This window comes from Homo sapiens, chromosome 6 (genome assembly GCF_000001405.40).
Source record: "Homo sapiens chromosome 6, GRCh38.p14 Primary Assembly".
Classification (NCBI taxonomy): Eukaryota; Metazoa; Chordata; class Mammalia; order Primates; family Hominidae; genus Homo; species Homo sapiens.
In genome coordinates, this window is record NC_000006.12 from 93,041,014 (window position 1) to 93,065,946 (window position 24,933).

The window sequence follows — 24,933 nt, forward strand, 5'->3', positions numbered from 1 at the left end:
AGTAGGAGCATCCCAACATTCATTTAGGTGATGGAGGAAGAGGATATGCTAATAGAGATAATTTTTTTGGAGCAATAGCAGAGCCTACTTGGTATTTAAGTATTAATTTCTCACAGTCTATTCACTGTATATTATTTTATATTGATCTCGTGATCATTTTTTAAATGAAGCACATTAGTAATTAAAATGCTTAACTTCCACTGATGAATTTAACTAAAAAGAATATACTAGTGTTTCTAAAATTTAGCTGCATATTATTATCACCTGAAGACCTCTTAGAACTAGGCATCATCCCAAATCAAACAAATCAAAATCTCCGGCGAGTGAACCCAGGCATTAGGATGTTTTAAAAGCTCCCCAGATGATTCCAATATACATGTTAAATTGAGAGCGTCTATAGTAAGATGAGAAAAATAAAAACATTCCCCAAACATCACATAGGAAGTGGGAAACTTCAAAAATGAATGAGAAATAAGAGTAATTTTTTAAAACCTTAATTCTGAATGTCAAACTTTAGATGGTTCTGAAAACAATCGGAAAAGCAAGAGAAAAGCTGTTTAAAATGGAAAGCACTATTGTCATGTGACAATCATGGTTGTTCTGTAAACATCTGTGCAGTACAGGTTTTAATGATAAAAGACAATGCTGAAATTTCATAAAAATTTGTTTACAAAACATAAATATGACTTTTATTCAGTAAGTTATATTTCTGTCTCTACTTGAAAATCAAATCTGCCTAAATAGTTCTAATAGCGTCTCTTCTACTCAGTTAAATAAATATTTCTTAACTCCAGCACTGTGGACATGTTGGGCCAGCTCATTTTTTGTGGAGTGGGAGTGAGAGTGAGGTGGTATCCTGTGCATTGTAGGATGTTTAGCAACATCTCTGACCCCTACCAATTAGATGCCAACACAACCACCACTCCTAGCTGTGACAACCAAAAATGTCTCCAAACATGACTATATGTCCCCTAGGGGCAAAATAGCCTGGCTAAGAACCACTCTGTTAAATGGACTACATACTTCCACCGCATGCAACGTCTATCAGTGTTTGCCCTGTCTCCATTTAAACACATTTCCTAGACTCAAAGCAAGAAATAAGGAAACAAAGACTGATTTTAATTTAAACAATGTTGACTTTAAGAAAAAATATATATATAAAGAAATTTTAAGAAAATGCTAGAACCAGACTGTTCCCAGGAATAAGTTTGCAGACTGCATTAAATGCTTGGCATTGAGACTCTATGAAAGAAACGTGGATTCGAGGGAAAAAAATACTGTAATACATGTGTATACATGTCATATATACACATACATATGCATATAGACACACATGCACACATATTAGAAATCATGAGCCCACACCAATACCTTTAATCCATTTCGTCCTCACAGAATTCTTTTTTCCTTCCCCATTCCTTATTTAAATGCCACTTCTTTCATAGTGAGAACTCTGACTCTCAATAATATCAATATATTTACTTATTTGCTTAGTCCTATAATACATCTTAGTTTCAGAATTGCTTTGCCCACATAACAAAAAAGATTTTGCTGTTTTCCCCAACAACATGCTCCTAAAGATTGAAATGTATTCATGAACTACTTGGATTAGATTTTCTCTTCTTTTCCCTTCAGTTTGATTAAGATTTATTTGAAATACAATTGTGTTTGTTTTTTCTTTTAGTTTTCATTTTTTTTCTGAAAACAGAAACACACAGTAACATGTAATATAAAATTGCTTTTATTATAAATAACCCCTTACAATGTAAACAAATATATTGATATTATAAAACCACTGGTCCTCATTTGTTTTAATATGGCAAAATTAAATAACCTTTCACATTAAAAATATACTCTTTAGTTTTAGAAATGAGAAATGACTTTCCTTCTTGCCATTAAATGTTTTGACTGCATGGATCAGGAGGACATTTAATTGACTAAACATTCAATTAAATAAGGTCTTTTGAGGCCCCCTCTCTCTGAATGAAAGTATTTTACACAAATTGTGGTTTTAATCAGGACACATGGGTGTCTGACCTGGGAATGTTTGCTGACAAGCTCAGGGTCTCATTGGCCCCACTGGTTCTCCTAATTCAGAAACTATTAATAGTGCAAAGTTAATTAAACTGGTAGCATATTATAAATGCAGCTGTTGTAATTTCTGAGTCAATCTGATATGTCAGTGTGGTATATTGCATAAAGTCTCAGATTTGGTATCTGACAACCTTGGATTAAATTTTTATCTCTAGATTTTAGGAATTGTCATTTCCTAATCTATATAATTAGAATTATTATAAATATAAGAGAAAAAAGTGTATCTTTTAAATTTTCTTATTAATATGAGTATAGATATATCTATTAGACATTTACTGGTACCCTTGTCTCCCTTCTCGTTATTATTCTCACAACAATTTTAATCTCTCTTGGCCAAGTTTCTAGGCAAAAAAATCATATGCCTTTGGGCCCAACCTTGGTAAATCTGTCTCTATGTATAAGTAGTTACCTCTGTTACATCTTGTAGTTGTACAACATGGACAGACCTTTCATTATCATTACAACATTTAATTTCTAGAACTCATATAATTAGGACTAAGGAAAACTCACTTAGTTTTCTCTTTCCAAATCCCATGATGATTAATTGTAGAGACACCATTTTCCTTCAAGTCCAATTGCCATATTCTTATTTCTGCAAGATAAAAAAAAAAAATGTTAAGCCCCGTTAGTTAACTGTAGAGCAAATACTTACTCATTTTTTCCTATCATTGAGAATTTGTCTGATTCCCCAGATGCTGCCTAAAATTAATATAATAATTCTCAAAACTGGTATTATTTTCTCTCCTGGCACTGACCTGATAAACCCTGCATGGGCCACTCAAGTCTGCTGATACTTGGGCCAACCTAACTGGAAACATAATCCCAACACCAGCATGTCACACACAAAGCAGAGTCAGCAAGTTCCAGAATCCTCAGATGGGGGCCTTAGGTACAAAGGAGAAGCCCCTGGACACTATTATCTCAAATGAAGCATAGCACATACACAGCAGATCATCTTCAGCTAACTCAGAGCTTAAATAACAAACAAACTCAGATACCGTCAGCTCCTCAGAAAGATTCAGAGATTTTCCTTTCCTGATGTGGGTCCTTTTGACACTACTGTTTCAAACATGTTTACAGATAAGGATTAAAATGAACCCATCTTTATTCTTCTAGCTTGTTGCAGGCCCTGGTCTGTTCAAGAAATGTTTACGTATAATCAAATTGAATTGAAACAGCTTCTCTAGAAAGTCTTTTGGGTTTAAGTCCCACTACTGTCTTCTACCCAATTTCCTCACTCCAGGAGCCTTCCTAAACTCTGTGTTAGATTGAGGTGCCTGCTTGGCAGTAAAAACAAAATTCTTTCCCACTCAGCATTCAATCCTTGGTCTCTTGAGTCTTCGTGTTTTCTTTAATATACATCTATATCTAAGGCTGCTTGCTGTGTATACTGTGATCCTCTTGGTCTGAAGGCTTTTTTTTTTTCTTGCTCTTCTTATTTGACTCCTACAGAGGTTATACCAGAAGTGCCAAGAATTAATATTTCCTAAATCTGCCCTCAACAAATAAGGGACTCAATGTTAAGGATAAACATCTCAGCTTCTCTTTCCGAGAGTACCTCTAAGGTATCTTCTATAGTGTTTCCCAGAGTTTGCCAACAGGATTGAGCTCCAGTTGCCCTCTTTGGTAACTGGCTCCAATATGCACCCTCTTGTTTTTTTCCCTTCCATGTCCCATGTCTTTATCTCCTTCTGGTGTTTCTCAGACTTAGCTTGGTTTCCCAAATAAACTATGTACTTGCATTCAAAACTTTTTCTCAGCATCTTTTTCAAAGGGAACCCAAACCAAGACAATTGTCTTTTCTTCAGCTTCTGTAAAGGATGAGATAAAAGAAGTTTGACCCTCACTGATATGATTGGTCTTAGCTTCCGATCATTGTAACAACTGATGACAAAAAGTTAAAAGTATATACTAAGAATAATTAGTTATCTTCAGGCTTTGGGCGGGAGCGGGGGATTCTAATGACAAATGTAAGAAAGGAAAATTATTCGAAACTTCTGAAGCACCCAATCCTCCCCATGAAATTGAACATATAACTTATTTCTCACCATCTGCACTGGGGAAGAACCTTAGGAAAAATGAGTAGGTGTTTGTTTTACACCTAGATGAATAAAAGGGCTTGACGATTTTGTTTATCTTGCAGAAAGGGCTTTGTCTCAAAGTTAAAGCCCAGTCTTCACTTCCAGAGGCAGAAAACAGCTGCACTTTTTAACAGTCCTCCAGCATCATACTTTCCTTTTGACAGTACTGTTTCAAACATGTTTACAGATAAGGATTAAAACAGACCCATCTTTATTCTTTTAGCAGCTTGCAGGCCCTGGTCTGTTCAAGAAATGTTTGTTAAGTATAAACAAACTGAATTAAAATGGCTTCTCTAGAAAGCTTGTAGTTATTATAATTTGCTCCACTAGCCAGTGCAACTCTGGGTCCTTAAGGTAAAATAATAGCTGGGTTTCGTTTGGCTAATTTTGAAGCCAGTCAACAATTAATGGAATAATAGATTTTAAATTTAAAATCAAATAGATTTAAAATCAAATATATAAAGGTTAATAATGCAATTGAACAGTGCTGTGATTTGTAAAATAATGTAAATAGGAGTTACATTTGCTGTAGTTTCAAAAATCAGATTCTAAAGCTATGCAAGGATGATTTTTCCAGATCTCATTTTAGTTGAATTAGTTGGTTAGTAGAGTTAATTATGTAGTGCTAAAAGTGGCTCCAATAAACGGAAACTTAGTAATGAGTTTTGCATAAATACACAACTAATACATATTTGCAAATCATTATTATGTACATTATTGCTTTATTTATAAAACCTGAATGAACTTGTTATAAGTTATAGTAGGCATACACACACACACATGCACACACACTACATTCACCTATTTTGGAGAGAAAAATCTTGTGATATCATTTCTATATTTATTATAAATATTATTCATAATGAGGGTTCAAGTTCTATAGGGTATTAGTATATGACACACCATGCTATTTAAAACTATAAATGTATTTTACCTAATTACATCTAAGTTTTTCTGTAGCTACTCTTCCAGAAACACATTTTGTTGTTTATACCTAGACTTTCACAGTGTTTACGCTTTAACTCCATTAATTTATCTGGTTTATTAATTTTATCAGATAGGAATATGTTTGATTAGATAGCTAGGATTTGTTGATCTAATACTACGGCTACAATCTGGCATATTTCATTTCACTTGGCATTACAAATATTACTAATGTTTATAAATACTTTCAAGAACTTATGGAAATTAAGGACAGATTAGTTTCCTTTCAAAGTGTAAGAGCTACCTACATACATATCTAATTATGCATTTTAGAAAGACTCATCATCTCAAACATTATCACTGGTATATTCAAAGAGTATTTGACCTTTAAAAAATAAATATAAAGGAGAGGTTATGATGGGTGTTTTTGTTTGTTTGTTTGTTTGTTTGTTTGTTTATGGATTCTTGCTCTGTCGCCCAGGCTAGAGTACAGTGGTGCAGTCTCGGCTCATTGCAACCTCAGAGTCCCAGGTTCAAGAGATTCTCCTGCCTCAGCCTCCTGAGTAGCTAGGACTACAGGCGCATGCCACCACGTCTGGCTAATTTTTTGTATTTTTAGTAGAGACGGGGTTTCACCTTGTTAGCCAGGATGGTCTCGATCTCCTGACCTCATGATCCGCCTGCCTCGGCCTCCCAAAGTGCTGGGATTATAGGCGTGAGCCACCACGCCCGACCAGGATACTATGTTTTTGAAAATATAAATTGGGATCAAATTAGAGTGCATTCATATGTGTCAATACTGTAAGACTGTTCAGTTAAAATAGCTTTACACTGGACTTCTGTCAAGAATGAAATTATAAACTTTCTAATAAAAAATTATGAATCAGTGGTAATTTATTAGAATGGTAATAAATATAGATATTGAAATTAACATATTTTCATGTACACAGTTCATTGTTAGAAGGTTAGGAAAAGGGTAGAACACATTGTGAGGACATTCAGAGCTGTGCTTTCAGCAAAGACAGACATCTGAAGACAAGTGCCCCTCCTTTATCCATTGCTCCCCCACCACCCATAGGTCTTGCTGGACCCATACCTTTATTCGCCCTGGAGAAGAGCCTTCTCACTATACCGTCGGCCTCTGGTGGCAGCACAGAAACAATCCTCTCTGCATCCCCAGTCCTGGGAGCATAAGCTGTGCTCAGGCTTTCTTGGGGACTGAAAGCTGAGTTGAAATTATTTTTCCCAGGACTTTTAAAATGCATGCTGTTATAATTCTCAATGTGCACTCTAACATTAGTATATCACAAAATGTATGCACACTTATCCTGATAGCATAAGAAAAAACTCACTAAAATCAATTTTGAAAAGAAAACTGCAATAATTTTAATATTTGCAAACAATAATGTACTAAAATTTACTAATAACATTGCCTTAAATTTTGTTTTTTCTTTTTAATTTTAGAATAACATACAAATCTACTTTGTGCTATGCTCTTTTCTTTTCTTCCTTTGAAGTCCATTCAGTGGCACAAGAAGAGGAGAGAATAAAGAAGGGAAGAAAATGCATTCCTATATATTGGAGCTTATATTGGTAGTATAAAACTTTCAGCTTCTCTTCAGTAAATATATTTGGTTCTACCTTCGACTTATGAGGTCTAAATGAACCAGAGGCAAAAGAACTATTTCTTGCTTGGTTCCTATGAGAAAGGCCTCATTGTTTGTTAACCAACAAGAAAACCCGACATTCTTGTTTTTGTTCCCCTTATTGTGTTCCTTTTCTTAACTGTCATTTCCAAGAAATTTTAACCCCACATTTTTTATTACTTATTCAAGTAAATGCAAGTAAACTTATTATAATGACCATACCCCCTTGAAATCTAGCTCTTTTGCAAAAGAAGGAAATACAGATCTATACTATGAATTTGATTTCTTGACCTCAACTAAAGTCACAGCATAAAATAAATATGAATTAATACGAATTGTAATTATTATTCCAATTTTTATCTTTGAGACTATGTAAGTACAGAACAAATTTAGAAGGTTGATGTATCCAACAGACATTTTTGTCCTTCGATGCCATTTGGACTTGCCACTGGATAATTTAGCACTGGTGATTTAATATAAAAAATAGTTTTATACATGTTGACTGAATTTCCCATTTTCAGTACTGAAGAGCCACATCAATCTTTCCATTAGTGAAAGGGGGTTATATTTTAAAATGAAATTTGTTTTGAGGACACTATAAACAGAATTAAGTGTATTGTTAAGTATTCTTTCTTTCATATAAGTGTAAATTGTTGACACATGGAGAGAGGAGATGCCAGACTACAGATCATTCTTGTTGGATGAAGCATGTACTGAAGTATCACTTTCTAACAATTAAGAAATTAGCACTAACAATTATGTGTCATCTTGTCTCTAGAGCTCACAGCATGATTAGTTTATGCCTAATTAAGGGCCTAAATCAGCAAAGAATGTCTGGCTTCAGCCTTAGGGGGAATTCCTATAGGCTACTTTCTAAGCTTTCTCTATTTAAATGAGAATGTAATTCAATTTTAAATGACAATCTAACAGGATCCTTACTATTTCCCATCTTCTGATTTCAAAAAAAAAATCTGATTTTCATCTCTATTTCCATGCTGTCCTTTCAATTTGTAAAAAAAAAAAAAGAAGAAAAATAAAAGAAAAAGTCTACACAAACTTGAAGGTTTTAGTTCTCTACAAAAGAACTAGGTTTTCTTTTCTATTCAAACAGATCAAAATTCGTTATAATTTCAAATTCCTAGAAAAATCTTTTAAAACTGAAATCCCCAGTTCAGCACCAACAGTCATGTTCCTTCTCTCAATAAAGGGGAAGTAGACATTTAGTCTGACATATTTGGAGCATTTTATTAATTATTTAATTAAAATACTTATTAATCATAGTAATTAAAAGATTGGAGACAAGACTATGAGAAAAATTAATGAATTATAATGACACTATATATGCACACAAATACACACTATTTGTGTGTGTGTGTGTGTGTATATATATATATATACCTATATTCACATACTCACATATATATACTATATGCATGCCTATATATTGGAGCTTATATGACCTCATATTAGTAGTATAAAACTTTCAGCTTTTCCTCAGTAAGTATATTTGGTTCCACTTTTGACTTACGAGGTCTAAATGAACAAGAGGCTTATATGTATATATACACACACACACATATACTATATATATAATGTGTATATATATACTATATATACATGTGCATTTATATGTATGCATATATACATATATGCACATATATGCATGATATGCATTTATATGTATATACATATACACATATGGAATTTACACATATGGAATTTATCATGTTGCACATACACATATGGAATTTATCATGTTTATATTCCTACATGCATGATATCATAATTTTATCTCTTTTTTACAGCTGAGGAAACTGGAAACTGAAGCTTGGAAGTGTTTATTAACTTTCACATGGTCATAGAGCTAGTAAAATGGCTGAGGCACAAAGTCAAGAAAACAGAACCGACTAATATAAAGTAAAGGTCAAAGGAGTGCAAATAAAATTCCTAATTGCAGGTTGCCTTTATGATTAGACACGCCCTTTCAAAGCTAATTTAACCCTAAAGGAATGTCTTACACAAAAATGTAAAACAAATGGCTCAAATAGTTTATCAAAAATAAGAAAAAGGTTCTTAATGCAACTTTTATTTTTCTTTTGACATTTCTTTGCATGCATGACAAATTTAGAAAATATGACTAAAAAGAAATCTGCTTTCTCTAAAAGACAGAATTGTTTTTTAAAACACTTATAATATCAATATGGTAAAATAAAGAAACCAAGAAACCTTGATCTTATGGATATATAAACAGAAATGCCTATATATTAGAAGTTACCTACAAAACAATTTTCCATGTTTAACTAAAACCAGTTTTATTCTTCCGCAGTTTCCAAAGTGGAAATCAACAACTTCAAAGGAACAAAAACAAAAGAAAACTAAAACAGGAATAAAAAAGAAACAAATTATGTTTCTTAATTACAGGGCAAACTTTGAAAAGGAAAAATGTCTTTATATATACCACACTTTAATCCTAGAGTCTCTCCTTCACTTAAATTTATGTATTTGGCTTGCCAGAGTACACTTGGATTAGGCATTCCTCTACCCATATGCACCACAAAGCAAGAAATTACTTCATTAATATTTTTCTCTGAAAAAGTTGAAATCTAAAATGGACCAGGTTAAAATCTGAAGATAAACTTGTGTCTTCCAGTTGCACAATTTACCTTCAAATACTTTTCAAAAACATTTGAAAGATCGGCTACTGCTGCTGGACTGGAGTCACAGGGACACAGCATTATTGATGACAGCTGATGAATTTTTTTAATTTGCTCAGTACTTGAAATACGTTTGTTATGGGGGACTGTTGTTAGAAATTGTTTTACTATTTTTGGAAGACTGATGTGTTGAAACACATGAAAGTATATGAACATATATATTTATATATGATATTTATACACATACATATATACATATACATATATATATAACATCTAAAATATAGGCACTGCTGATATTCAGATTTTCTCATAGGCAATGCTTTGATCCTGAGATCCCCAAAGGTCCAAATGGAGTACAGTACAAAACACACTCATATGAAGCCATTAACAAATATTCAAATAACCAAAGTAAAAAAAAAAAAACAAACAAACAAAAAAAAACAGAATGGGCCTAAGGAAATCAGATATTTGACCTGAAAACAATTTATATACTATTCTATTGCATTGCTTATCTTCCCTTCAAATGGAATTTTACATGGAGAATATAAAGCTGGATCAGTTTTTTGTAGGTGTCACTCCATACATACAGAAAATACAAGCAGCAAAGATGTATTGCAATACATATTTTATCAACCTCCAACTATTTCCTGCCAAAGAAAATACAGGTTCTCCCTTCTAACTTAACATGCGATAGATTGACATAATAGAATGTTTATTCCATTACATTTTTAAATGATTTGTTTGGTAATGATACTCAAAAATGCTGGTTTCTTGGTATTCATTTTAAAGGACTTGCAGGGCAATTTCTATTTTATATTGATAACCATAAAATAAATGATTCTTATATCTGAGGAACAGATAAAAAATCACATATCAGCTTATTTCATACTCACCAGTTATATGGTTAGAAAATATTTCTACAACGTTTTGCCATTTTTATATGTTCAAAAAAAAAATTCCTGTATTTTAAACCAGTGCAACAAAGCTTATCTTTGTTCCTCACAAAGGCTATAATTTTAACCTTCTTTGTTTCCCCTTCCCCAACACCTGTATTTCCATCAAGTTTTGAGAAAGGCGAATGGAGGGACAATGGCTTATTTATTTTACTCAGTCTTTTACCTATTAAAAAAAATCCCATAGAATTGGCCCTGAGGATTAGGTTAGAGAGAAACTCCAATGAACTTATTTTTTTAGGCACAAGTTTTAAAATACAAATGCTCACTAAAACTATTATTTGTCTTTTAACTGAAATACACTACTTCAGTCACAATACTATTGAAATAAAGGGAAAAAGAAAAGAAAGGAAAAACACTTACTTGGGACATAAGGCATTAAAATGCACTGTAAATAACTACCTTTGTTGGCATTTTTAATGTGATTTTTGTCTTATTTTTTCTCAATCTGACTTAAAAAGCAGTTTATAATAAGGCATTGTTCATTGTCTATATCCAAATAGAAGGCCTATCAATGACAAGTTTCTGTTCTGTAGTGATATTCAATATTCATTTGATTTGAGAGCATTATCTAGTAAACACAACTACTTTTTAATGGATGAATCAATGATTTATGTTGGATCAAAATATTCATCAGTTAATAATAAAGAATAGTGTCTGTTCTTCCTGAAACTAAATGAACAACAAATAAACATACACACACACACAAACATAAACCATCAAAATCTGGCTCTTCTCATTTGTTTCTGACAGTGGCCCACTTCTTCTAAGATATTAAAGGGGCCTATTAATCCTTAATGAGGAGAATAACATGTTTGCAAAATATGAAAATAGAGGAAATAGTCCTTAGCCTGAGCTACTGATCTGTTCATGTTACTGGAAAAAATGATGGCCTCTTCAAATATTATCCTAAATAAAATTATAATTATCCAAATAAATGGCTAATGACTTTTCTCAAATTGCTTATTAACAATTTACTGAACAAGTGTTAATAGAAACAGAAAAGAAAGTTTCCCATAGTCACCATCAATCATTAGAATTTGAGGAGATATTTGGATAAAGTATTTTACGGGCAATACATATTTTTAGGAAAAATGACTAAAAAACGTAGGTAAAATAGAAAATCCCATAATATACACAAAAACATAATTTAATTAACTACATATAAATGAACATATTCTATGAAGTGAGTTATGGTTGCTTAAAGGGCCACATCCTAGGAGTCAGAGGCTATAACTCAGGTTTGTTAGTGAATGTAAAAGTAACACAAGAATTTTCCTGTCTGATTTTGGGTAGAAGAAATTGGTAGAAGAGTAAAAGTGTAATGATCTTTATAAATTGAAGCTCCATGAGATTGGGAAACTTTTTTTTTTCAGTATGTCCATTCTTTCTCAGCTTTTTTTAAAAGTTATTTTTTATTTTTATATATCTAGTGAGTAAAAGTGCAGATTTCTTACACACATATATTGCATTATGGTGAAGCCTGGGCTTTTAGTGTCCCCATCACCCGAGTAGTGGACATTGTATCCAATAGGTAATTTTTCAGCCCTCAAGACCCTCCCACTCTCCCACGTTTTGTAGTCTCCAATGTCTATTATTCCATTCTGTACGTCCATGTGTACCCATTGTTTAGCTCCCCTGTATACGTGAGAACACTCAGCATTGAACTTTCAGTTTCTGAGTTATTTCACTTAAAATAATGGCCTCCAGTTTCATCCATGTTGCTGCAAAAGACATGATTTTATTCTTTTCTATGGCTGAGTAGTATTTCATGGTATATATACACCATATTTTCTTTATCCAGCCCTCTGTTGATGGACACAGATTAATTCTATAACTTTGCTATTGTGACTAGTGCTGTGATGAACAGGTAAGTGTAGTTACCTGTTCTTTGTGGAATCTCCATACCGTTTCCTATAAAGGTTGTACTAATTTACATTCCTACCAACAGTGTGCAGCGTTCCCTTTACTCGATATTCTGGCCAATATGGGATATTTTTAGACTTTTTAATAATAGCCATTCTGACTTGTTTAAGATGGTATCTCATTGTGGTTTTAATTTGCATTTTTTTTTTTTTTTTTTTTTGAGACAGAGTCTTGCTCTGTTACCCAGGCTGGAATGCAGTGGTGCCATCTCAGCTCACTGCAACCTCCGCCTCCCAGGTTCAAGTAATGATCCTGCCTCAGCCTCCCAAGAAGCTGGGAATTACAGGCACCTACCACCATGCCCGGCTAATTTTTGTATTTTCAGTAGAGACAGGGTTTCGCCATGTTGGCCTGGTTGGTCTCGAATTCCTGACCTCAAGTGATCCACTCACCTCAGCCTCTCAAAGTGCTGGGATTACAGGCGTGAGCCACAGCGCCTGGCCTGCATTTCTCTGATGATTAGTGATATTGGGCATTTTTTCATATGTTTCTTGACTGCTTGTATATCTTCTTTTGAAAAACATCTGCTCTTGTCCTTTGTCCACTTTTTAATGTGTTTGTTTGAGGGTTTTTGTTGTTGTTATTTGAGTTCCTTATAGATTCTGAATATTGGGCCTTTGCTGAATGCATTGTTGGCAAATATTTTTTCCCATTCTATAGGTTTTCTGTTTACTCTGTTGATTGTTTCTTTTGCTATGCAGAAGCTTTTTAGTTTAATTAAGTCCCGTTTTTCTATTTTTGTTTTTGTTGCATTTGGTTTTGAGAGCTTGGTCATGAATTCTTGCCTAAGCCATTGTCCAGAAGAGTTTCTCCTAGGCTATCTTCTAGTATTTTTATAGTTTCAGGTCTTATGTTTCGGTTTTTAATCCATCTTGAGTTAATTTTTGTGTGTGGTGAGAGGTATGGGTCCAATGGGATAGCCTTCTGCATGTGGCTATCCCATTTTCCCTGAAGCATGTATTGAATAGAGTGTCATTTCATCAGTGTACATTTTTGTTGACTTTCTCAAAAATCAGTTGGTTGTAGGTATGTGGCTTTATTTCTGCATTATCTGTTCTGTTCCATTGATCTATGTGTCTATTTTTTTTTATCCATACAACGCTGTTTTGCTTACTATAGCATTGCAGTATAGTTCAAAGTCAAGTAATACGATGCCTCCAGCTTTGTTCTTTTTGCTTATGATTGCCTTGGCTATTTGGGCTCTTTCTTCACTCCATATAAATTTCAGCATGTTTATTCTAATTCCTTGAAAAATGGCGTTGCTAATTTGATGGGAGTTAAGTAGAATCTGTAGATTGCTTTGGGTAGGCAATATGATCATTTTAATGACATTGACTCTTCAAATCCATGAGCATGTGATGGTTTTCTATTTGTTTGTGTCATCTATGATTTCTTTTATCGGTGTTTTGTAGTTCTCCTTATAGAGACCTTTAACTGTCTTGGTTAAATATATTCCTAGGTTGTTGTTTTTTGTTTTGGTTTGTTTTTTTTTTTTTTTGTAGCTATTGGAAATGTGATTGCCTTCTTGATTTGGCTCTGGCTAGATCCATACTGGTGTATAGAAACATTATTGATTCTTCTGCATGTTAATTCTGTATTCTGAAAGTTTATTGAATTTATTTATCAAATCTAAGAAGTTTTTAGTGGAATTGCTATAATTTTCCAGATATAAAATCATATCATCTATTAACAGGGATAATTTGATTTCCTCTTTTTCAATTTGGATGCCTTTCTCTTGCTCGATTGTTCTGGCAAAAACTTCCAGTACTAGACTGAATAAGAGTGGTGAAAGTGGACATCCTTGTCTTGTTCTGATTGTCAGGAGGAATGCTTTCAACTTTCCCCCATTGAGTATGATGTTGACTGTGGATTTATCATATATGGCCTTTATTATGTTGAAGTATGTTTCTTCTATGCCTATTTTATTCAGGATTTTCATTTGGAGGGATCCTGAATTTTATTGTGTGTTTTTTCTGCTTTTATTGAGATGATCACATGGTTTTTGTCCTTAATTCTGTTTATGTGATACATCACGTTTATTGATTTGCATATGTTGAACCATCCTTGAACCCTGGGATAAATTCCACCTGATCATGGCTTATCATCTTTTTGATGTGTTATTAGATTTGATTTGCTAATATTTTGTTAAGGATTTTTGCATCTATGTTCGTCAGAGATATTGATTTGTAGTTTTTTCTTTTGGTTGTGTTCTTGTCTGGTTTTGGTATCAGGGTAATACTTGTTTCACGGAATGAGTTAGGGAGAATTTCTTCTTCCTCGTTTTTTTCGGGGGATAGTTTCAGGAGGATTGATATTAGTTCTTCTTTGTATGTTTGGTACAATTTGTCTGTGAATTTATCTGGTCCTGTGCTTTTTTTATCGGGAGGTTTTTTTTGTTGCTGATTCAATCTCGCTACCCATTATTGGTCTGTTTGGGAGTTCTATTTTTCCTGGTTCAACTTTGGTAGATTGTGTGTTTCCAGCAATTTATCAGTTTCCTCTAGATTTTTTCATTTGTGGCTATGTAATTGTTCACAATAGTTTCTGATGATCTTCTGTATTTCTGTGGTATGAGTTGTAATATCTCCTTTTTCATTTTAAATTGTGTTTATTTGGATTATCTCTTTTCTTTCACATTTCTTGTTCTCCTGGTACCTAGCACGGTGTCTAGCATTAGAATGACAGAATCAAAGTTGTCTGTGATCATTAATAAGAACCTTAAATTAAGAATTAAACATCCAGTGCACATTAGACTTTGTAAGAGCTCACATAGTCTATGTGAGGTAAGAGCTCGCATAGTCTAATGACATAAGGAGGTTCAAGAGGAAAATCTTATAAATGGTCTCAGAGACCCTCTAAATATTTTCAGTTCTGGAACCTATTGGTTTGCAGCATCAAACAGATATCAAAATTCAATGTCAACTATTTAGACTTGGATGGATATAAATGTGTAGGTAATGCAAATATATATTATCTTTTAAATTATGGCATCAGACAGTAATTCCTAATAAGTTCTTTCTCCTTTGCCAGAAAGTCTAGAGGTAAGGGAACCCTTAGGCATTGTTATTGATGAAGGTAGGTCTATCCAAGAAGAAATATCAAACTTTGTGTCTTTGGGTAATTTACATTTATGATCCTCAATTTCCTTATCAGTAAAACGTGCGAGTACAGAACTTGTTTGTAGTGTTATGAGCATTAAATGCATTAATGACTTAAGGCTTCATTTGATAACAATGATTACCACACATCAAATGACAACATATGTTAGCTATCTACTATCTAAAAATTAAATCATAACACTAGAGTTCTAGAGATAGCTCAAGAGGGGCCATATAGATTTAAGATTCCATGACAGTTGCTGAGTCCGTGAAAATAAATAAGAGCCAAGAATGGTAGCTTGCTCCTGTAATCCCAGCTACTTGGAAGGCTGAGGCAGGAGGATGTTTGCATCCAGGAGTTCAAGGCTGCAATGGGCTATGATTGCACCACTGAACTCCAGCCTGGGTGACAGAGTGAGACACAGTCTCTTAAAAAGAGAGAGAGAATAAATTGGTTATGCGAGAAAAACAATAGGATGAGAGAATTAGGTCAAGGCTCAGCTCTGAGATACATAATATTTAATAAGCAAGAAGGAAGCTGTGTGGAGAAGAGTGTGGAAATGGACAGAATACTGATAATAAAGTTGGAGAGTGTGTTAGGCTGTTCTTGCACTGCTATAAAGGAATACTTAAGACTAGGTAATTTGTAAGAAAAGAGGTTTAATTGGTTCATGGTTCTGCAGGCTGTACAGAAAGCATAGCAGCACCTGTTTCTGGGGAGCCCTCCAATCACAGCAGAAGACAAAGAGGAACAGACATATCACGTGGAAAAAGTAGGAACAAGAGAAAGAGTAAAAGTGCCACACACTTTTAAACAAGCAGGTCTCATGAGAACTCACTATGGTGAGGACGGCATCAAGAGAATGGTGCTAAACCATTCACGAGAAATCCACCCACATGATTCAGTCACCTCCCACCAAACCCCACCTGCAATACTGGGGATTAAAATTTAACATGACATTTGGGTGGGGACATATATTCAAACTATAAAAGAGAGAAGATGAATTCAAATTCTTATTCATATTTACTAGCTTAACTTTGGTAAGTTATTTATTCTCTCTGATTCTCATCTCCCTAACCTATAAGCTGTGGGTGATATAAAAATGTCAGACTTTCTAGGAAGATAAAATTGCAGTAAAATTTCACATAGCAAAACAAATTAAATATTTATATATGGTAGTTATGTTTACAGTTTGTAAAAGTGGACAAAGAGTGAATAAAGTAAAAAGAGAAAAAGAAGGAAAGGAAGGAAGTGAGGAAGGAAGGAAGGAGAAATGAAGAAAAAGAAGAAATAAGAGAAGGGGAGAAATTAACAAATGGAGGGAGAAAAAAGAAGGAAGGAAAGAAGAAGGAAGGAAGGAAAAGAGGGATGGGAAGGGAAATAGAGAAAGGAAGAAAACAGAAAAAATAGGAAGAGGATAGAGAGAAGAGAAAAAAAGAAAGAAAGGATAGAATGAAGAGCAGAGAAAAAAACAAAGAGAATGCAGAAAGAGAAAAAACAAGAAGAAAGTAGTTAATGAAAAAAGGGACATAGCTGGGAAATTTTAGTTTTGAAAAAACCATGGCAGAGTGCTTCAAAAATGTGGTCAATATTCCTGCAGGGATGTGAGGGATTGGGAGGTGTGAAATAGTTCTGAAGATTTATATTGACCCTTGTTTCCTCTTTTATCTTCAGCATAACTAAGAAAATGGGTTTTGGAAAAAGTTTGTTATATCTTTACAGAAATAAACACATATACAGACAGGCAGCAAGTTCTGTGACAAGTACTGTTTTATTTTTTGCTGTTTGCTTACCACAGTGATGTTTTTCATGGAAAAAAAGTAATTACATAGAATATCATATCCCAGAGATAAAAAGTTACTATTTTCTACAAATCCTGTTTATATCTTTCTATGTGCTTTTTCACGGCCTCCCATGATACACATTTTATGTGCACTATTTTTTATTTAGCATTACACTGATATACTTACCTATATTATTCTAAATTATTGTATAGTCTGTGCCATGCTTCCTAAACTAAGTTATTATTGTTGGATAATAAGGATATTTACCTTATTTTGCTACTGAAAATAGAGTTACAATAAGGAATCCAGCACATAAATCACTTTCATAGAATATGTTTTTGGACATGAAATAGTTGCATCAAAGAATTTTTAAAGTCTTGTTAATAAGTACCCATTCAAATTGATTAAACTTAGAGTGAATTGTATGGAAAATGAACATTGATCAAGTAATCAGTGTCAATATAAAACACAGTCATGTGTTGCTTAATAATGGAAATACACTCTAAGAAATGCATCATTAGGCAATTTTGTTATTGTGCCAACATCAAAGTGTACCTATACAAAATCAGATGATATAGCCTACTGCATACCTAGGCTATACGGTATAGCCTGTTGCTCATAGGCTACAAGCCTATGAGTACTATACTGAATACTGTAGATGATTGTAACACAATGGTAACTATTTGCATATCTGTGTATCTAGGCATAGGACAGTACACTACTGTAGACTTTGAGCACTGTACACTTAGGCACTAAACTTATAATAAATATTTTTCTTTCTTCGATAGTAAATTAAACTTAGCTTACTGTAACTTTTTCACTTTGTAAACTTTTAAATTGTTTTAACTTTTTGACTTTCATAATAATACTTAACATAAATTACAAATACATTGTACAGCTGTACAAAATATGTTCTTTCTTTATATCCTTATTCTATAAGTTTTTTCTTACTTTTAAACTTTTAAATATTATTTTACTTTTTTAAACTTTAGTGTTAAAAATGAAGAAACAGGCATACATATTAGCTTAGGCCCACACGGGGTCAAGATCATCAATATCAATGTTGTCCACCTTCACATCTTATCCTACTGTAAGGTCTTCAGGATCAATAATATGCATGGAGCTATCATCTCCTATAACAATGCCTTCTTCTGGAGTGCCTCCTGAAGGACCCGCCTGAGGCTGCTTTACAGTTAGCTTTTTTTTTTAAAGTAGAAGGAGTACACTCTAAAGTAACCATTAAAAGTATAGTATAGTAAATATATGAACCGTCGAGAGAATTTTTTGTTATCATGATCAAGTATTATTTACTATATATAATGTATGTGTTACACTTTTGTGTGACTGGCCGTGCAACAGATTTGTTTACACCAGCATCACCACAAACATGTGAGTAATGCATTGTACCACGACGTTAAGTTGGATACAACATCACTAGGTGATAGGAATGTTTCAGCTCCTTTATAATCTTATGAGACCACCATCGTGTATGCAGTCTGTCATTGACTGAAATATCCTTATGTGACACAGGACTGCACTAGAAACTAGGGAAAAATAGTTTGAAGATCATCATTTAATGAACAGTTCAACGTAGAGACTTAATGATTAAAGAACAATGGATTTTGCTTTCTACAAAAGAATTTCAGGATGGCAAGGAAACAGGAAACACAACATCATTTGTCAATTTTGTTTCTGATTGTTTTACCATATTCCTTCTGGGAAGAGATAAAAAAGAAATAATGTAATTGGCTCCAGACAGTGATGCTGTTCCCCTCTTGCCCCACTCCACTGTGAGGTCTGGCAGGTGGAGATAATGTGAATTGTGAAAGATGGAAGAAGAAATGTGACAGGTGAGCAAACAAGAGGAGAATCCAAAACGAGGGCAGGGCGGGAGGCTGAGAAAGAAAACGTGAAGTGGCTTGCACCTGCTTGGAAGTGAAGAGCAGAGCTAAGGCTGCCAAGAGCTCCACTTCTGAAGGCATTCACAGGAGTGTTTCAAAAGGCTGGCCATGTTCCCTCCCTTATACACTTTGATCCTTCTTGATTACAGGGAGAGAAACATATTTACAAGTTTGAAAATACTTTTTAGAGAATCTCACATTCTTTTGCTATATCAGCACTAAAGTTTCAAGGAGACAGCTTCTTTGCTGGCTCAAAAATATTGGTAAAAATAGACAACATTTTAGTTTAAATACATTTTATACATTTTTCTAATTTGCATTTATATGCAGTTTAATTCCATATATTATAGAAATATAAAATGGGAGGATAAAAACATATTTCATATGTAGAAGATGTGTAATAGGAAAATATAATCCAAGATAGTGGCTGCTCTGTCAGTTGGGTCCCAGCATGATGACAAGACCAACAAGGAGCAGAGCTCCGGTCAACCCACAAGGACATGTAGCAGGAATGTAAATAGAAAGCAGAACAAAAACCTTTGTCATTGAAATCTACTTCAGTAAAACCTAACTTGGCCTACATGATGCACTTCTCCAGGAAAAAAAAAAAGAACCGGGAAATTCACATTAAAGTGTAAGCAAAATCTAGGTGAAATATGTACAGATGAAAGAGCTTTAATGACACGTATAATAAAAAAAAATCAATGATTGTGTATGTGTGATATATATATATATATCTTTAAAACAGGAATCAACCCAGTGCTGGTAAGGATATGGCAAGCTAGTAATGACATATCTTTCTAAAAAGCGATCCTGGGCCTTAAAGAAATAAACAGAACTACTTTCAACTGTTTCTATGCAAAGATTTCTTCACGATGTTATTTAATGCTGTGAAAACACACACAAACACAGGTACAAATATTTGTTTCACTGTTCTCTACAATAAGAGGATGACTTAATATATTTTTATATATTCCTATTTTCATTATTATACAGACATTAAAACTATATGTTTGAAGATGAGAAGGTAGAAATGTGGATTTTTATAAGAATCATAAACATTTGTATAATTTCTCCTACTTTGTGAGCCTCTAGTGTATGTGTCACATGCGTGGGGGCGAGTGTGTCTATGAATACATTTTGTGGGCAATAGTTTGTGACCCCAGGCTTTAGATATTAAGACAGAAATGGGATGGGAAGAGCGACTTGGGAAGAAGGTGTCTACTGCGAATGTACTGGGTGAAATGCTATATCTTATGCAGTGTGATCCATTCCTGCAAGTCCATTATCTTCAGTTATGTTATAAAGATATTCATGGAGAAGTTTCTGCAAATTTTCTAAAGGTTTTCATTGTAAACATATGCTCCTTGAGTTTTAAGTTGGGGGATGTTTTTGAAAGTACTGAATTTACATCGAGATCGGAAGTACACTAAACAGTCTGTCATGAGAATAATGAAAATCCCAGATAATGTAGCTGTTCATGGAGCTATGACCTAGAAAAAAGAAATGACAGGAAGTGAATACATCTAAATATTCACAGTGATAGCTCTGGGTGGTATGATTTTAGGGGATATTTTCTTTCCTTATTCTCTATCACAGTTTTCAAATATTCTATAGCGGGCCTACATTATTTTATAATCAGAAAATGAATGTAACTTTTTAAAGGACTTTTTTTTAAAAAGCCTTCCTATTGAGAAGTTTTTAGCATCATCTAAAAGTTTTCATTATAGACATTGGTCATTATGTCAAACAACTACAAATAAAGATTTTTCATAATTTCTTTGAGTTTGGTATTGGTGAAATGCTAGACTCTCCTAATAAATTAATTAATTGTATTATGTTAAAGAAACAGCATCTCATTTTCTTCTTTTGATATTATTATTTTATTTTTAATTTTTACTTCCAGAAAACTCAGGACTAAGTTTTATGTTTATTTGAAGCAAATTCCTTTTTTCCTGGATTTTCTGCTCATCTCTTACTTAAATTATATTTTAACATTTTTCTTTTTATGTGGATAGTTTTATTGTACATTTGTCATGCTGTAAGCTGCCTCTACTTACTATGAAAGTGCACGTTTCTGCCATGCTTCTTTTTGTATTGCAATGACGGAGCAGACAGCTCTATAAAGGGGAAGCGCCTTCATGCCTATACATATATTGTTCTTTCTACCTAACATCTACTTTTTTATGGCTGGACTGATGAAATCCTTCTGATTCTTCATATTCAGATGGATTATTAGCTCCAGAGGGTCCAACAATAATCTGTATATTACACCCACAGTAGTTTGTATATCAAATTGCAATGAATTTTCCTCTTTCACCAGGCTTTGAGTTTCTTGTACACTGGAGTTACCCTATTAAGCTCTTCAGCATCACTACACATGACTTGGCAGATGCTTAAGAAACACTTAAATGAATAAGATTAAAATATAAGACACATAAGTGAAACTAAGCTCAATCTACTACTGCAAGAATTCCATTAAACCTCCTATTATAGGAATTTATTTATAATTTCTTTGGAATTGCAGATAATAATCAAAACCATATTGTCTTTTGTGAAAATCTGGTTTCTATTTCTGTGGTCTGGTAGCCATGTTGTGTTCCATTAATCATTTTTTAATTTATCAAGTGCCTAGCATTGAGCTAGGAACCAGAGAATAGGAGAAAAATACCATAAACATGATCAACTCTTGTGAGGTTTCATTAGAGCAGCAGAGGCAAGTATTAAACAATTCATTACAAATTTCCTTTTTTAAAATTCATAACTATAAAAAGCCAGGAGAATACAGTATATTTTATACATTTATAATGGAGATTGAGGATGCTGGATTCTGAATAATGAGTAGGGAATAGTTTATAAGGATAATGAAGGTTGGTCTGTGGGAAAATAGCTGATGGGGCTGAGGGAACATTGGTGTGAGTTCCCACCTATTTCAAAATCTTGAAATAAAGTAGTAGCCAAGAGATAAATGATACATTTTAACCATATGACTATGAAAACAGATAAATCTAATACCTAATCTATGCAGAAGGATTAGTTTCACAGTAGAATTCCTCTCCATTGGACACCTAGGAAATAAATGTTTATTCATCTTTATGTGCTTAATACCTTGTACAGTGCTGGGCAAACTGCAGACACAAGTATTTCTTGAACTAGTTAATTAATTATTAATGAGAAATTGACTTTTTCTGGAGTAAACTAGAGATTTTTTATTCTATTTTTGAAGGAAGTGTTAATATAGAACTCTTTAATATAACACTATGACAAAGAGTTAGAAATAATCACTTAAAAGCAAATATCTAACCCAACAAATGTGCAGTAACAGTTATTTAAGAAATAAAAGAACAAAACCATATTAATGACATAGGAGAAGAAAATGAAGTTTTAATGTAACATGCATTTTCTTATAAATATATATAAAAAATTGCTTATGTTTGCATGTGGTTCCTATCAGAAGCTCCTTAGCATAAATTATGTCTTTTGATGGTTACAGTAATCCTTCCTACAAAATATTTTCAAGTGCCTCTTATAAACTCCTAGTCGATTATGATTTACAGTATTCAGGTTTGTCACCACTAAACTGGGATCACATATATTTTATTACATTACAACATGATTATGTTTGATGATTTCTATTTTGACTCCAGTTCTAGAAATTGTATCTACTAGTGAGTCAACAATACTCCACTGCATGGAATTGTCAATCAATAAAAAATTGCTGATTGATTCATTGATCTTGGTTATACTTTATTTCTGTTGCTGTCTTGATCTAATACAACTCGATTGGTATATTTTCCATTTTAAATTCATTTTACCAGAAAGTTTTTTTTTCTTCCCACGTCTTTCCACAAACCTATATAACCTATTGATGAGGTCAAGTTTCAAAAAATATATTAACATTTACCAAATTGAGGAGGATTAAAGTATATTACTAGCAATTCAGATTCATGTGATTTTCCATATTGTTTCTATTTTTAAATGCATTAATTATTCAGTGGACCATAACAATTTCAAAGTCACTACAGTCTATCATCTAAATATATATGCTTATATAAGAACTAATTTTGACAACAGATTATTTATCCATTAGCCCAAAAAAGCTCAACTACAGCTGTTACTCTCTAATTGTGGAGTCCCATATTTTGGCACATTTTATAAAAAGGTTTTTGACCCAAAACACTGCAATGGCTTTTCTTTGTCATTTAGATAGGGAAATATTGACATAATTCTTCCATGAGTAGTGTGCAGGCTTACAGTATGTTAGCTAATAACAACAATAAGCAGTCTGCTTTCTGCTGGAAAGCAGTGGAAAAATATTCTCTGGAGAAGTAAAAGCCTGATCCAAAGGAAAAAAAGTCTCTTAGGAAGTAAAATTTCTAATGTAACTCAGTAAAAGATTAGATTTAATTGGAAAAAAAATGTAAACTTTAAGTTTTACATACACATGCACAATCCCTATTTAGAAGTTTAAAAATAACTGCCAATAAACGGAAATTACTGGTAACTTCATTAAAAGTTATTTGGTGTTATACAATATTGAGTTTGCACCAGCAGTCAAGCCCTTTATTCTGAAAATTCTGTTGCAATTAACACCAATTTAACATTCTCCCTCCTATGAAGGAATTTGTGAGCCAATGCTTTCTGCATTGTACGTGAGAATTTCTAGCAGATTGTTCATATCACTTTACAGCATTTTTAACAATAATAAGAATAAAATTAATAATCACTAAGTAAGGGAGAAAGCATTAAGCAGATTGTGCACTAGGTCTCAGCTTTAGTATGCCATGGCATGGTGTGAAAATCATTCATTAACAAGGTTGATTTTCAAAGCCTCATTTGAATGTCTCTATTACCAGTCAAATAACCCCCACATTCTTCTCCATATTCTCACCTGCTAATTTCCATTTTCCATACTGCATACATGGTGATCTTTTCAAAATACAAACATTGTTACATTACATTTCCTTTCAAGATCCATCACTTTCAAATATTCTTGGACAAATTACCAAAATAATTACCTTTGCCTGCTTACTTTTTCTTTCTCAAATGTCTTATTTTCTCCCACTCTTGGCCTATTATCAATGTTTACTTAAACATCTCTTCCTCTGCACTCTGCAATTGCCACCTTTGGGTCCAGTCCCTTGCCTATATCACGAGGCAACATATACCTTTTCTTCATTACACTTACCACTTTTATGTTTTTTATTTTATTTTTACTCTCTACTTCTCCTACCAGATTCATGAGGGTTGGAATAAAATCTGGTTTTGCTTCGCATTATAGGCTGGTATCTAGCCTGGTTCCTGGTGTGTAGTTGCTTGCTGCTCATTAATCCATGCTACATGGAATGAGGACCAAACCAGAAATTAAATCTAAATGTAAATCTCTTCCGTCCATTTTTACTGAACTACTTACTAGCACTATGAACTTGGACTAGTGTGTGTGTCTTATGGTTAGAACTTTTAGGCTTATAGATAACTGTACCTGAATAATACATTCCCTACATTTGTTGGCATGTGTAATTTTCATAGCTTTTCTTACCTTAATTAGAATCAAATCCTTATTCAAGTGGTATTAGTTCCTAGTCATATGGAGTCTATCAAAGCTCAATTTGAAACCATAATAAGGCAAATACACGAGGATGCCAAAGTCTTTGAGAAATAGCCATCAAGAGAAACCCGAGAAAGAAACTGAGTAAGAGAGATGTAGCTTGAGAGAGAGAAAAAAGAGAGGGGGAGATTCAGAAGGACAGAGAGTGTGTAATTAGCTATCTTGTGACTTTCCATTTATCCCTGAATCCTGCCTCTATTTCTAGTTGCTCTTTTCCTTGAAATTTCTTTGTATCCTCAGAAAAACTTCTACTTTTGTCT

The 24,933-nt window shown here is 33.5% G+C and overlaps 1 annotated feature.

The window, feature by feature from the left end:
- Positions 7,216-7,853: an enhancer, noted in NCBI's record as "NANOG hESC enhancer chr6:93757947-93758584 (GRCh37/hg19 assembly coordinates)". NCBI's record gives its function as "activates a minimal SCP1, AML or CMV promoter by ChIP-STARR-seq in naive H9 embryonic stem cells {active_cell/tissue: H9 hESC(naive)}" and the evidence as "EXISTENCE:reporter gene assay evidence [ECO:0000049][PMID:30033119]".